Source organism: Homo sapiens, chromosome 12 (genome assembly GCF_000001405.40).
Source record: "Homo sapiens chromosome 12, GRCh38.p14 Primary Assembly".
NCBI lineage: Eukaryota > Metazoa > Chordata > Mammalia > Primates > Hominidae > Homo > Homo sapiens.
The window spans coordinates 26,268,852-26,281,363 of record NC_000012.12 but is presented as its reverse complement, the minus strand read 5'-3'; the positions used below and the strand labels follow the sequence as shown (position 1 = coordinate 26,281,363).

The 12,512-nt window shown below is 45.5% G+C and overlaps 3 long non-coding RNA genes across 10 annotated transcripts in view, besides 3 other annotated features; 2 read left to right on the top strand and 1 right to left on the bottom strand.

The window, feature by feature from the left end:
* Window positions 1-12,512, bottom strand: part of LOC105369705 (uncharacterized) — a 57,584-nt gene that overhangs the window by 29,092 nt on the left and 15,980 nt on the right. The window lies entirely within an intron of this gene.
* LOC105369704 (uncharacterized) lies at window positions 5,309-8,035 on the top strand. Its single transcript, NR_188068.1, has 2 exons — window positions 5,309-5,505; window positions 7,872-8,035. It is a non-coding gene; the product is annotated as an uncharacterized LOC105369704 (long non-coding RNA).
* Window positions 6,127-6,176: an enhancer, noted in NCBI's record as "active region_6121". NCBI's record gives its function as "activates an Ori minimal core promoter by ATAC-STARR-seq in GM12878 lymphoblastoid cells {active_cell/tissue: GM12878}" and the evidence as "EXISTENCE:reporter gene assay evidence [ECO:0000049][PMID:35858748]".
* Window positions 6,197-6,636: an enhancer, noted in NCBI's record as "active region_6120". NCBI's record gives its function as "activates an Ori minimal core promoter by ATAC-STARR-seq in GM12878 lymphoblastoid cells {active_cell/tissue: GM12878}" and the evidence as "EXISTENCE:reporter gene assay evidence [ECO:0000049][PMID:35858748]".
* Window positions 9,176-9,395: an enhancer, noted in NCBI's record as "active region_6119". NCBI's record gives its function as "activates an Ori minimal core promoter by ATAC-STARR-seq in GM12878 lymphoblastoid cells {active_cell/tissue: GM12878}" and the evidence as "EXISTENCE:reporter gene assay evidence [ECO:0000049][PMID:35858748]".
* The window catches only part of SSPN-AS1 (SSPN antisense RNA 1), a 60,672-nt gene continuing 57,696 nt past the window's right edge, over window positions 9,537-12,512 (top strand). For all 6 annotated transcript variants that reach the window (NR_187468.1, NR_187469.1, NR_187465.1 and 3 more), the window contains exon 1: window positions 9,537-9,701. This is a non-coding gene — a long non-coding RNA (SSPN antisense RNA 1). The remainder of the gene's footprint in view (window positions 9,702-12,512) is intronic.

Genomic DNA, 12,512 nt, shown 5'->3' with positions numbered 1-12,512 from the left:
AAATGTATCTCAGCCTCAGTACCCTCACCATCCCAAAATACTGACCAACTTCAGGAAATGAATATGAATTGTCTTACCTAGCACTCTTGTAATTCACTAATATGGGAAGGCAGCCCTGAGCCTCAAGTTCCTTAACCAACTCTTGCTAACTCCCAACCTTTGGGGTCACAGGGCACTGGACGGATCCTGTGCTTCAGCTGGTCAGTACCTGGCTGGATCCAAGCCTTGAACGAACAGACCAACAGAAGCTATGCTTCTCTACACTTCCCTGCACACCACTCATGTCTGGAATTCCCATCTTGACCACAGCCTGGGGGGTGGCCTCTCCCCAGCACCTATGAAAACCACACCTGATGTTCGAACACACATCAGATGCCCATTGGAACCTGTCCTCAGATCTTCTGGCTAACCTGGCTGAAGTAGCCTCTGCAACTGGGGTTTTCATCTCACCTAAGTCTGTATCTCAGATTTTTTCTTCTTCCCACCAGTATAAGTTTTGGCAAGTGCAGCAAGGGTGCCAACTCCCATTATGACATACATGGTCAGGGTGGAGTTAGGTGCGGGACCATGTATTAGAAACTGTAGAAGTAGTAAGGGATCTTTTTTTTCGGTATAAATGCATGGGGTACAAGTGTAATTTTGTTACATGAATATATTGAGTAATGGGAAAGTCAGGGCTTTTAGTATATCCATCACCTGAATAACATACATTGTATCCATTAAGGAATATCTCATCGTTCACCTCCCTCCCTTATCCTTCCAAGTCTCCAGTGTCTATCCTTCTACACCCTACATCCCTGTGTACACATTATTTAGCTCCCACTCATAAATGAGAACATGTAGTATTTGTCACCCTGTTTATGAGCTGTTTCACTTAAAATAATGACCTCCAGTTCCATCCATGTTTTTGCAAAAGACATGATTTTATTCTCTTTATGGTTTAATAGTATGCCATTGTGTATATATGCCATATTTTCTTTATCTGGTCATCCATTGATGGACATTTAGGTTGATTTCATGACTTTGCTATTGAGAATAGTGCTATGATAAACACACGAGTGCAGCCATCTTTCTGGTATAATTATTTCTTTTTCAAGACAAGAAGTAGATACCCAGTAGTGGGATTTCTGGATCAAATGTAGTTCTACGCTTAGTTCTTTGGGTAATCTGTAGCAGTAGTCTAGGGATTGGCAGGGCGAGTTACACACACTCCCTTCCTAGGGCCTGTACCTCAGCTTCCTGGAGAAATGGCCTTGATTACTCTGATAACTACAACCAGCGCAGTACCTCCCTTAGATCTGGCAGCCAGGGCCCTGCCCCGTGTCTCATGCTTTGGAGGTTTCTGCCCTGACCTGGCCTGCTCTGATCCTAGCCAGATGAGTGAGGAGCCCACAGGTTTGAGGGGCACGCTTGCCCAGTCTACACACTCTCTCTTCTAGACCACTCTTTGGAGTCCTGGGGCCCTGTAATTTCCACCCAAAAAGCTCAAGGCCAAATTCTAGGACTTGCCTGATGCCTTTTCCCATGTTCGTCCTGGGGTAATAGCCAATGAGTGCTTTGTGAGAGGCAGGTGGTAGGGGTTGGGGGCTGTGTACCAGTGGGCTGAAGTGTCCAACATCTGTGCATGAGGCCCCCATGATGTGGGTTACAGCCTCTGTGTGTACTCCTGCCCAGATGCCCATGCAGGTCACAGGGTGAGAAACCCCACATATTTCTTTTCTGGAATGCTTTTCTCTTCCCATCAGCTAGGTCAGCTCATCAGTTCTCATGGTTTCAAATACCAGCTTCATACTTATTGGAACCCTTCCTTTACTCCCTGATATCAAACCCATCAGCAAATTCTCCTGATTCAAGCTCAAATGTCTTTTCTCTCCCTCTCTGCTGCTATCCCTTTGACTCAAGCCACCATTGTCTCTTGCCTGGACAACTGAGATAACCTATTCAGTGGTTGCTCTGCTTCCACTATTGGCCTCCTACAATCCATCCTCCTCATAGTGGCAAAGTGCTTTTCTGTTCATGTGAGCTGGATCATGCCCTTCCCCTGCATGAAAGGGAGAAATGACTTCTCACAGCCTTGTGAGCATGGCCCTTGCCTGCCTCCCCCTCCTCCTGTCATGCACTCTTCCTTCTTCTGCATACCTCTTCAGGCTGGCCCTTCAGTTCCTGCAGCACAGAGGCCTTTCCACACCTTGCACAGTCACCAGCATCTCACATGGGTTCTTTGCTGAAACACTGACTCCAAGAGCCTTCCCTGAGCCATCTAGCTAAAGATCACTCATTCCCTGCATTCATTCTCCTCAGCCCCTTGTGTGTCCCCAGCATAGCACTTAACGTATTTGAAATTATTACATTGTTTTGTTTTTTGTTTTTTTTTTGAGACAGAACCTCACTCTGTCACCCAGGCTAGAGTGCAGTGGCATAATCACGGCTTCAAATTCTTGGCTTCAGGCAATCCTCCCACCTCAGCCTTCCGAGTAGCTGGGATCACAGGTGCATGGCACCACGCCCAGCTAATTTTTCATTTTTTGTAGAGACAATGTTCCACTCTGTTGCCCAGGCTGGTCTCAAACTCCTGAGCTCAAGCGATCCTCTCACTTCAGCCTCTCAAAATGCTGGGATTACAGGCATGAGCCATTGTGCCCAGCCAAAATTAGTATTTCAAATCATGTGTTTTAAATTGCCTATGCTATTAGGATATAAGCTCTTTAAAGGCAAGGGCTCTGACTGTCTTGTTCATAGTTCTCTCCCCTGTGCCCAAAGCAGTGCAAGGCATGTAGCTGGCACTGGATAAACATTTATTATGTGTGCAATGAATACCAGGGAAGGATTTTTGGGTGTGGCAGACAGATAAGTGAGAATGCCATCTTCTATGTCCCTCGGGGACTCAGGCCCACTCATTTTTCCACACACCAGAGTCAACCACTGATGTTTCAATTTCCCTTTTCTCCTGATCACTCATGTTGGTTTCTAGATCCTCTGAATGTGCCCTCAGAGGGTCCTTGCTAATCTGTGTCTAAAGAAAGAATGTAAGACCCTGGCTAAAGCTTACCCTAAGAAATTCCACTAGGCCTTAGCTATTGAAGGAAACAGATTCCCACCCAAGAGTGACAGGTTACAGCTCTGCTCACAGGGAGACCCGTCCTCAGAGAGCCCCGTGGGGTTGCTGAGGCACAAAATTTACAGAAAGCCTTTCTGTTTGGGGTGGTGGGTTTTCACTGCTTTGTTTTCTTGTGTGCTCAGTGGCTTGTTCCTAACTCGCGGCCAATCACCACACTGCCAGATGGTGCGAAAGATTTACCGGAATTTCGTTTTCAAATAAACCACAAGCTTGGATGAGCTAATGTTGTTCCACATAAAAAAGCCACAAAACTGGACAAATTAACGTTGTTTCAAGAAAGGAAACTTGTCCGGGCCATCAGGTCTGCCCTCTCAGGGGGCACCAATATCTGCACCAAGACACTGGGGACGCCCCTGCCTCCCTTACCGCTGACTCCACAAAATAACTTAGGGGGAATTATATTTTCCTGTGGAACCAAATCATTTCTGTCAAGTTCATCTCAGTTGCACCAAGAGTCTGAGGATGGCAATGCCTCTTCCGGCCTGTCAGCAATGGTTGCAGTCTCTCCCAACACTGCCTGTGAGCGCTCCCGGGACAGGGCCACTAGCCCAGCAGGTCAGCTTGGGCTGCTTAGCAGGGACATTTAGCATGATTTATAAACCACAATGGCATGGGTGAGAGTGGCTTCCGGGAAGGCCCCACCCTCAGCAGCAGTGGCCATAAAGCCTAATGGAAAAAGCTTCCATGATTGGGATCCTGGATTCTCACCCCTGCTGTACCACTTAGCGGCAGAACCATGAACAGATTGAAAGACTCTAAAGAACATGATTTTCTCATTCTTAGGATGGAAACAGCCTGGGTGCGGTGGCTCACACCTGTAATCCCAGCACTTTGGGAGGCCGATGCAGGAGGATAACTTAAGGCCAGGAGTTTGAGACAAGCCTGGGCAACATAGCAAGAACCCCCCACTGCCCTTCTCAACAACAAAAAAGAGCCAGATGTGGTGGCACATGCCTATTGTCCTAGCTCAGGAGAATGAGGCAGGTGGATTGCTTGAGCCAAGGAGTTCAAGGCTACAGTGAGCTATGATCATGCCAGTGCACTCCAGCCTGGGTGACAGAATGAGACCCTGTCTCTAAATAGATAAATAAATAAATAAAAATAAAAAAGATAGAGATAATAATATTAAGCCAACAAGGTTGTTGTAAGGATAAAACTGAGTTAATATGTAAAGTCCTTTAGTGCTGTGCTCAACACACAAGAAGTGCTCCTCCCTACATGTGGACACTACATGGGATGATATGATGATGATGATGATGATGATGACGATGACGATGTCAGCCATGTGGCTGCCCCTCATCTTATAGCACTTATCTTGTCCATCTGGTGCTAAAGAGCCAGTCTCAGAGGAGGTATGTCATCTGCTTCCTATGGTCAGCTGAGTTGAACAAAATACCATGAAGTGATTCAAGCCAGGAAGTCAATCAATATAACTCAAGCTGAAAGAGCCCTTCTTTAAAGAATCTAAAGAATTGCCTCATCTTTCCTCCTTCCTTTTCTCAACCAAACAACAAAATGTTTTGCCTTAAGAATTAGATGCCTTAAGGATTTTGTTTTAAATTAGAATTTTATGAATGTCCTTCCTCTCTGAAATTTTATATTATAAATATGTGTAGAAATACTCTAAAGGGATGTCTGTGATCTGGGTGTTGGGATTTCATCTTGCTACATGGGATAATGAAATACGGAACTTATTTGAGCAGAGATTCAGGTCTATTGAGAATTATAACCAAAGTACCGCTTATTGAGCACTTTCTAAGCTAAACGACTTTATATACTTTATCGAATCCTTACTATAAATTTATATTTTCTCCATTTTGCAAATGAAAATTCTAAAGAAAAATTTTACTAGTTGTAAAAAGGCCATATCTGCTTGGCCATAAGACCTGTTTATGCTATTCTGTCTCACTAACAAATTTTTAGATAGAAGTCACTAGAGATGAACATTAGGCTAACCTTAAAAGATAATGATGGAGAAAAAGAAAAACACTCAAAATGCTTTACAAGTTTTACTTTAGTCTTCACAACCACCCTACGAGGTAGCAGCTTTTGTTGCCTTCATTTTACAGATGAGGGATCCAAGCAGAGAAATCAGTTGTGTGCCAGACTCACATAGCTGGTGGCCCGTAGCAGAGCTGGGATTCAAACCCAGGCAGTTTGACCTTGAGCTTTGTGTTATGCTGTCATAGGCAGGGGTCAGTCTCCTGAAGCCTTGCACAGGGAAGGAAATGTTCCCTTCCTTGTGCATTAGGCAAGCTGCCCTGAACTTCCTGCAGCACCCACCATAGAATAACCCACCAACTCCATAGGAAACCTCGCTTATGCACCCAGATCTGGTCTGTGATTTGCTACAGAAAGACAAGAAATGGCCTGTGGCTTCTTGCTAGGTATGTTGAAAAGCATGGTGGGGTGGGAGTGCAAGCCATGATTAATTGTTTGCTGATGTGGAAAGTCTATAAAGTTTGAACCACATTTCTCAGAAACATGAAGAGGAACAAATAATTTCTGGTCCATTAAGCCTTTTCTTACAGGGCTTCATATTGTTTTCTCAGGGGTTTTGTTTGTTTGTTTGACCTCAGAATGTGAGCAATAATGTGTCTTTTTTTTCCCTTTCTGGCTAAAACCAAACCTTTTGACTTCTCAGTTGATATAAACGTGCCCTTTCTCCCGCCCCTCAGACTTGTTCTTTCTTTTTTTTTTTTTTTAAGATGGAGTCTCACCCTGTCACCCAGGCTGGAGTGCAATGGCGCAATCTTGACTCACTGCAACCTCCGCCTCCTGGGTTCAAGTGATTCTCCTGCCTCAGCCTACGGAGTAGCTGGGATTATAGGCGCTCGCCACCATGCCTGGCTAATTTTTTTGTATCTTTAGTAGAGATGGTGTTTCACCATGTTGGCCAGTCTGGTCTCAAACTCCTGACCTCGTGATCCGCCCGCCTCAGCCTCCCAAAATGCTGGGATTACAGCAGGGCCACCGTGTACGGCTGACTTGTTTCATTTCTTAGAGCTAAAATGAGGTTTGGAGAAAGCTCTGTTCATTTTGAAGCCTCAGTCTTCACCCCAACACTCCTGGATCCTGGCTGGAGGAGCTGTGATTACCCGAGATAGGAAAACCCTGGCAGCTCAGCTACAGGCCTAAATAAACAGTGAATCTTCTTGCAAGCAGCCCATCTGGGCTTCAAATGCCCCCAGAGTCTCCTTCAGCCTGGTGCGTGGGCTCTGTGGGGCCTGCATTTCAGAGCCTCCTGTGGTGCTTCCCCTTCCAGGGCAGGCCCCACTGGGCACTGACTCAGGGCTTATCATTCTTTACTAGAAGTTCCGGATGAAGCAATGCAGGGGAGAGAGTCACTGTTTCTGCTCCCTAACTCTGACCATGACTCATTATTCAGCAAACACAAAACGGTTCCACATCCTCCTCCCGAGAAGGAGGCGCAGAGCCCATTACATAAGCAGCAGTCTACAGCTGCTCTTGGGTAATTGAAAGTGAAGCCCTCAACTGGAGGTCCTGCTGGGATGGCATGACTCCCTCCTCACCCCTTGATACCAATCTTTATGAGCAGAGAAACCCTCTCCAGGAGAGGGCCCCCAAAGCCAGGGGGTTTGTTTTTTGCACAGTAGGCCTCATGTTTGGAATAGCTTGTATTTTCTGCCTTGTTAAAACCTGGCCCTTCCGTAGTGTCTCTGATCTTATCTCCTGATGAGCCAGAGCTGAGCTGCGGGAGGCAGAATCTGCCCAGCGTGCTGAGCAGAGGAGGAAACGTGGCCTGGGGTTTCTGTGCCCAGGGACCCACCCAAGAAGGACCACCCAGGAACGATCATCTTAGGGAGAGGATTCACAAGAGCTGCTTTTGTTTAATAAGCTCAGCACTGCAATCATAGAAAATAGAGTTGAATTGCAAAGCCCAGAGTAAAGGGGATGGTTGTTGATCTGGTTCAGGGGTAGGAAAAGTAACTTTAAATTGATCTGAAAAAAAAAAACAGAGGGGTTAAAAGAGATCATCTCTGGGCTCAGTAATCCTGTCTTCTTTCCCAGCCTGCACTACCAGGCAATTACTTTTCAGGAGTGGTGGGAAGCCAAACAAATTCTGAACATCCTTATCTGGAACCTGTTTCATGCAGAGAAGGCCTGCTTGTAAACACAACAGGACGTACAAGCTGATGAGGAGAAGGCTATCTTTTTGAACGTTGCCCCTGGGGGACTGGGAGGTCTGCTAGCCCTGGCTCCTCGGGCAAGACCACAACCCTCTAACTGGGCCTCACTTTCTGCTTTGGCTGAGCTGGGAACGGCCAGCAAGGGAGGAGTCGCGGGTGAGGGAGCACATTGGCCTCCACCTTGGCAATGCTGCTGTCCCCAAGGGAAATGTTCCAGGGAATGTCCTCAGCACCACAGAGAACTGAAATCCTGGAGAAAACTGGCCTAAGGAGCTCAGAAAGGCCAATAAAACTGGGGCATTTGGGGAAGAAGAGGAAATGGAATGGCATTATTGGATGATTTAAATGTGGTGTGTTGCTATGGTTCCCAGCCTTCTTGAAAGTCACAGACATGGTGTATGGGCTGAATTGTGTCTTCCCAAAACTCACATGTTGAGTACAGTACTACAAAATATATTTGAAGAGATTTGAGTTACAGCACTACACATTTGAGTTACAGTACTACAAAATGTATTTGAAGACGGAGCCTTTGAAGGGGTAATTGAGTTAAAATGAGGTCATAAGGTGGTCCCTAATCCAAGGCGATTGGTGTCCTTATAAAGAGAGAAGATACCATAGAAGGAAGACCCTGCGAAGATAAAGGGAAGAGACAACCATCTGCAAGCAGAGGAGAGAGGCTTCAAAAGAAACCAACTCTGCCAGCACCTTGATCTTGGACTTCTAACATCTAGAACCATGAGAAAATAAATTTCTGCTGTTTAAGCCACCCAGTCTATTGTATTAATACTTTGTTACGGCAGTCCAAGTTGAGTAATGTACAAGGTGACCCTGCAATTCCCTAGATTTGGAGTGCTTGGCTTTTGTTTGTAGCTCAAAGCCTGTCTCTTTTACAGGTAGCTCTCAGAAGACAAGTGAGGGGACACGCAGAAAGGGAGGTCCTTCTTCCCCCACTACAATCCCTGAGCATGGATGGAGATGGGAGGGCTGGGATCCTCAGTTCTGTGAGAAAAATACAAAGGACCATAAGCCCTGGTGAGAAGGGAGAGTCTCCCTGAGGCACTAGTAAGGAAGTGACCTGGACCTGGACCTCCCACTCCAGGACATTTTAACCAGCCCTGTGTCAACAGAGCATGCGCAACCCAGAGGACATTTTCTTTGAGCCCCACTTTACAGTCTCATTTACCTGGAGCCTGGCTGGGCTCCATCAGCCCCCATTCAGTTAAGAAACTGCCAAAGGAGCAGTTTATCCATATGCCTGCAGGATATTAAGGGAAATGAATTTTGTGTTCTGGCTGAGAGGGCCTCAGTGGACACTTCCAAAAGGAACCCTGATTCACAGTATTTGATACTTGGTTATTGGCTTTGGTAGAGCTTGGTTTTGTGTTCTGTCTTCTGAGAGGCAGGTACTGGACACCAGAAGCAGCAGGATAATGGCCCTGAAGGAGTCCTGACTGCAACCCCCTGACCACCACCACCGGAGAATTTGCTCCAGCTTTACTCTCTTCTGATTTTCCAGAAATCTGGCATTTTAAATAGCTATTTTGTGTTGGCCTCTTTTCTTCCTTTCTAAAAAGTATGTTTTAATTAAATGTTCTTTGGTTGCTGGCTAAGCTAACCCCAAAGGTTGGTGTCCCTGGTGTGGGCGGGAGAGGTTGAGTTCACACTGCCTTTCAAAGCAGTGCCAGTCCCTTCTGCCCTCTGCGAAGCCCACGTGAAGGGAAGACAATGGGTTACTGTGGGCCACAGAGCCATGTCCCCTCACACTGCTCTCCCCTCAGGGCTGCCAGGTGTGGTTGGGGCCTGAGACAAGCTTCTCGCCTCATCATTCCTTTCGAGGCAACACTTAAAACAGAGAGGGCTTCAGAAGGAAACAGCACAACCAGCGTCTCAGCACATGCGGCAATTCAGAGAGGAAGTACGTTCTAGAACAAAAATTAAACCCTAAACCTATAGGTACCAGCTCCATCCTGCCATAAATGCATCATACGCTTGGAACTTCCAACACAACCCCGAGAATGCTGCTCGCTCCCACGAGCTGACGGCAGGCCTGGCCCTCCGCCAGGGAGTTCACTTGCAAAGCTGGAAACTCCCTAACTTAAAACAATGTCTGGGTGTTTTCTGCTTCATAGGGGCTCAGAAGGAAGGTAAAAAGCTCAGTAAATTTGTTGTTTGACATCTCACTCTGAGTACTGTGTGTTTCATCTGCCTTCACTCTCACAATTATTATCAACTTGCTGGCTATAAAAGGCAGGGGCTACAAACTCAGTGAGCCAAATGCAGTGCTTGCTTCCTATCTGTGGTCCATTGCATAGCAGTGTGCTTGGGTGCTGCGTAAGACAATTCCCCCCAACGCCTCCAAAAAATAGGACATGGTCCACTGCAGGAGTTCATAATCTAGGAGTCCAGAGAGTCCAGGCTCATCATCCCTTCAGGTATGCATTGCTAAAACCCATTTTCTTCTTATTTCTTCATCTTTTTCCTCTTCTTTCCCCATCTCTCTGCTTCCTCCCCCTTCATTCCCTCCTTGCCGTCTTCCTCCTCCTGGTCCTCCTTTACTGAGCTAGAGGTAAGAGCACACAGCTCATCTTTCACTGCTGTTGGGGTCAAGAGTAAAGAGGAGTGACTTGCAGTTGTCTTCGAAATAATCTTCCCTTCCCAATCCTACTTATCTTAGCTGAAGTTGGGTTTTAGGAGAAGAGGGTGATCAAGAAGTTAAAAGAAATAAATGCAGGAACACTATATCAAAAAGTATTTGCTAGCACTGAAGAATATGGGTGAAGACAAAAATGGTGAGTCATGGAATTCCAGAGCTGAAGACGACTTTGGGTGCTGTGAACTTATCTCCTCACTTTACAGATAAGAAAAATGAGACCCAGGAAGTCTAGTGACTTACGCAAGGAGAGAGAGTAATTGTCAAAGGCTCTAGACTCAGCCCTTCTTGTTTCTAAGTTGGTGCTTCTAAGTCAATGCTCTAGATAACAAAAGTCATTAGGAAGATCATCCATGGGCCTAATCCTACCCCACCTTTACCTTTGTCTGCAAGTTCTTTCCTCTTATCCCATTAAATTAAAGGAAACTCCCCAAGGATGTTAATGTAAGCTTCTATCTGTCAATTACCTCTCCATGTAAATGAATCATGTGGGGATGGTGGAAAGGAGAGAGCACTTAGTTAGGAGTTCTGACCTGTCTCCAATGATCCAGATAGCCTTGAAAAGGCATTTAGCAAAACAATAGAAACCATTGCTGTTCAATACAATTATAATTTAGAAAGTCATGAATGTACGCCACTGCGTAATTCTGAATTTTCTTATAGTCATATTTTAAAAAGTAAAACAAAACAAATGGGATTACTTTTAATAGTATTTTTTATTGGACCTGATCTATCCAAACTATTATTACTTCAGCATGCCCTCAATAAAAAATGTATTAATGAGATTTTTTACATTCTTTTTTTTTTGGTACCAAGTCTTTGAAATCCTGCATGTGTTTTACAACCACAGCACACCCCGGTTCAGACTAGCCATTCAAATGCTCAGTGGCTACCTGGGACTAGTAGCTTCTACATTAGGCAGGAAAGACCTAGAGTTGCTTTCTCATCTATAAAAATGAAAAAAATGGCACTATCAGGGGTTTTCTAACTGCCTCTGCTTAGAGTCCTAAGAATTCTATAGAGGTAACTCAATGAGTGTCTGTGAGTGTGTGTGTGTGTGTGTGTGTGTGTGTAGTGAATTTTGGTGTGGCAGAGATAGCCAGCTTTGGTTCATCTACTACCACTTCATGCCAAATACTTCCAGAACTAACTGTTTTTATATATCCGGCTTTGGCCTGAGAGTTTGTTGGGAGATGAGATTCCATGGCTAAATAAAGAAACTAAAAACCCTTGCACAGCATAACCTGCAACCTGCACTGATAGTCCCAGATTCTGGAGGGCCTACAAGAGGAATCAGCAGTCACTTGCCAGGGAAGAAAAGGGCCAGGTGACAAGCATGGGATCAGCCTGACACTCCAGCTGGCTGTAAAAGACATATGGCCTCATGGCTGTGGCCTATAAACTACACACACTGACTCCCTCCCGCCTGGTCAGGTTCACGGATAACAGTTTGAGTTATCGGCTCGTGCTTTGCCCAGTGGGCCTATCCTGGGGCCCTATCCAGGACAGAGTGTCTAGAATCTGGGCTGATTGATACACAGAGGTCACAGAAGCCCAGGCTTTCTGCATAACACAGAGCCTTGGCTCTCTTGCTTCCGGAACATCCCAGTTTGAGGACTCTGCCCATGGGGGTTCTATATGTGGCCCCAAGAGTTTTTCCTGCTATCCTCATTTTAAACAGTGACATATAAGCAAGAGCACAACAGCTGCAAGATTGAAACAGCTGTATCAGCAAAGGATGCAGTTGTTGGAGGGTATCATTAAAACCAGCTTCAAGTGCAGCCGCCAGCACACCCACTCACTTCCCGGGGCCAAGCCATGTGAGATGGACCTTGTGGCTGCAGTCCTTTGAAACCCAACTGCTGAGGACAGGCACACATTTTTTTTTATTATTATCCTTTCATTTAATGAGTTATTAAGCAGCTTTACTGAGTTCAGTTAGACACATGGTCCCCACCCTTCTGGAACTTTTACAATATTATGGTAAAACAAAGATGTCCTCCTCATCTACTGGCTAAGGATTCCCAGAGTCTTAGGCCAGCTAGAGATGAGCAAAATATACAGCAGTCTCTGACGTGTTTATATTACCAAGGAGATAATTAAAAACATAGCCTGTACATTCCCCACTTTCCAACTCTTCTTTTATTTCCCTGTTTTAGTGGTATGTGGGTCTTTGGGTTGTGTATTGTAATATTATGATGTAATAGGAAATATATATTTTGATCTTCATATCTGGTTTCTGGCCAGGAATCTTGATAATAGCAATAAAGATATTTTGTTATTCATAACAAGCTCCTTTCAAACACACCTGAGTTTAATAATGAGATGACTTTTGGAAAGCCCTGAAGGATGGGAGGCTGGTTGCCAGGGAAACCAACCTTGTGATTAGAGGATTGCAACTTTCAGCCCCACCTCTCAACCTCTGGGGAGGGAAAAGGGGTGGGAGATTGAGTTAATCATTAATGATCAACGATCAATCATGCTTATGTAATGAGGCCTCCAGAAAAACTCAAAGGGTTGGGGTTCACAGAGCTTCCTGGTTGCTGAACACTTGGAGGTGCTGGGAGGGCTGTCCACCCAGAGAGGGCATGTA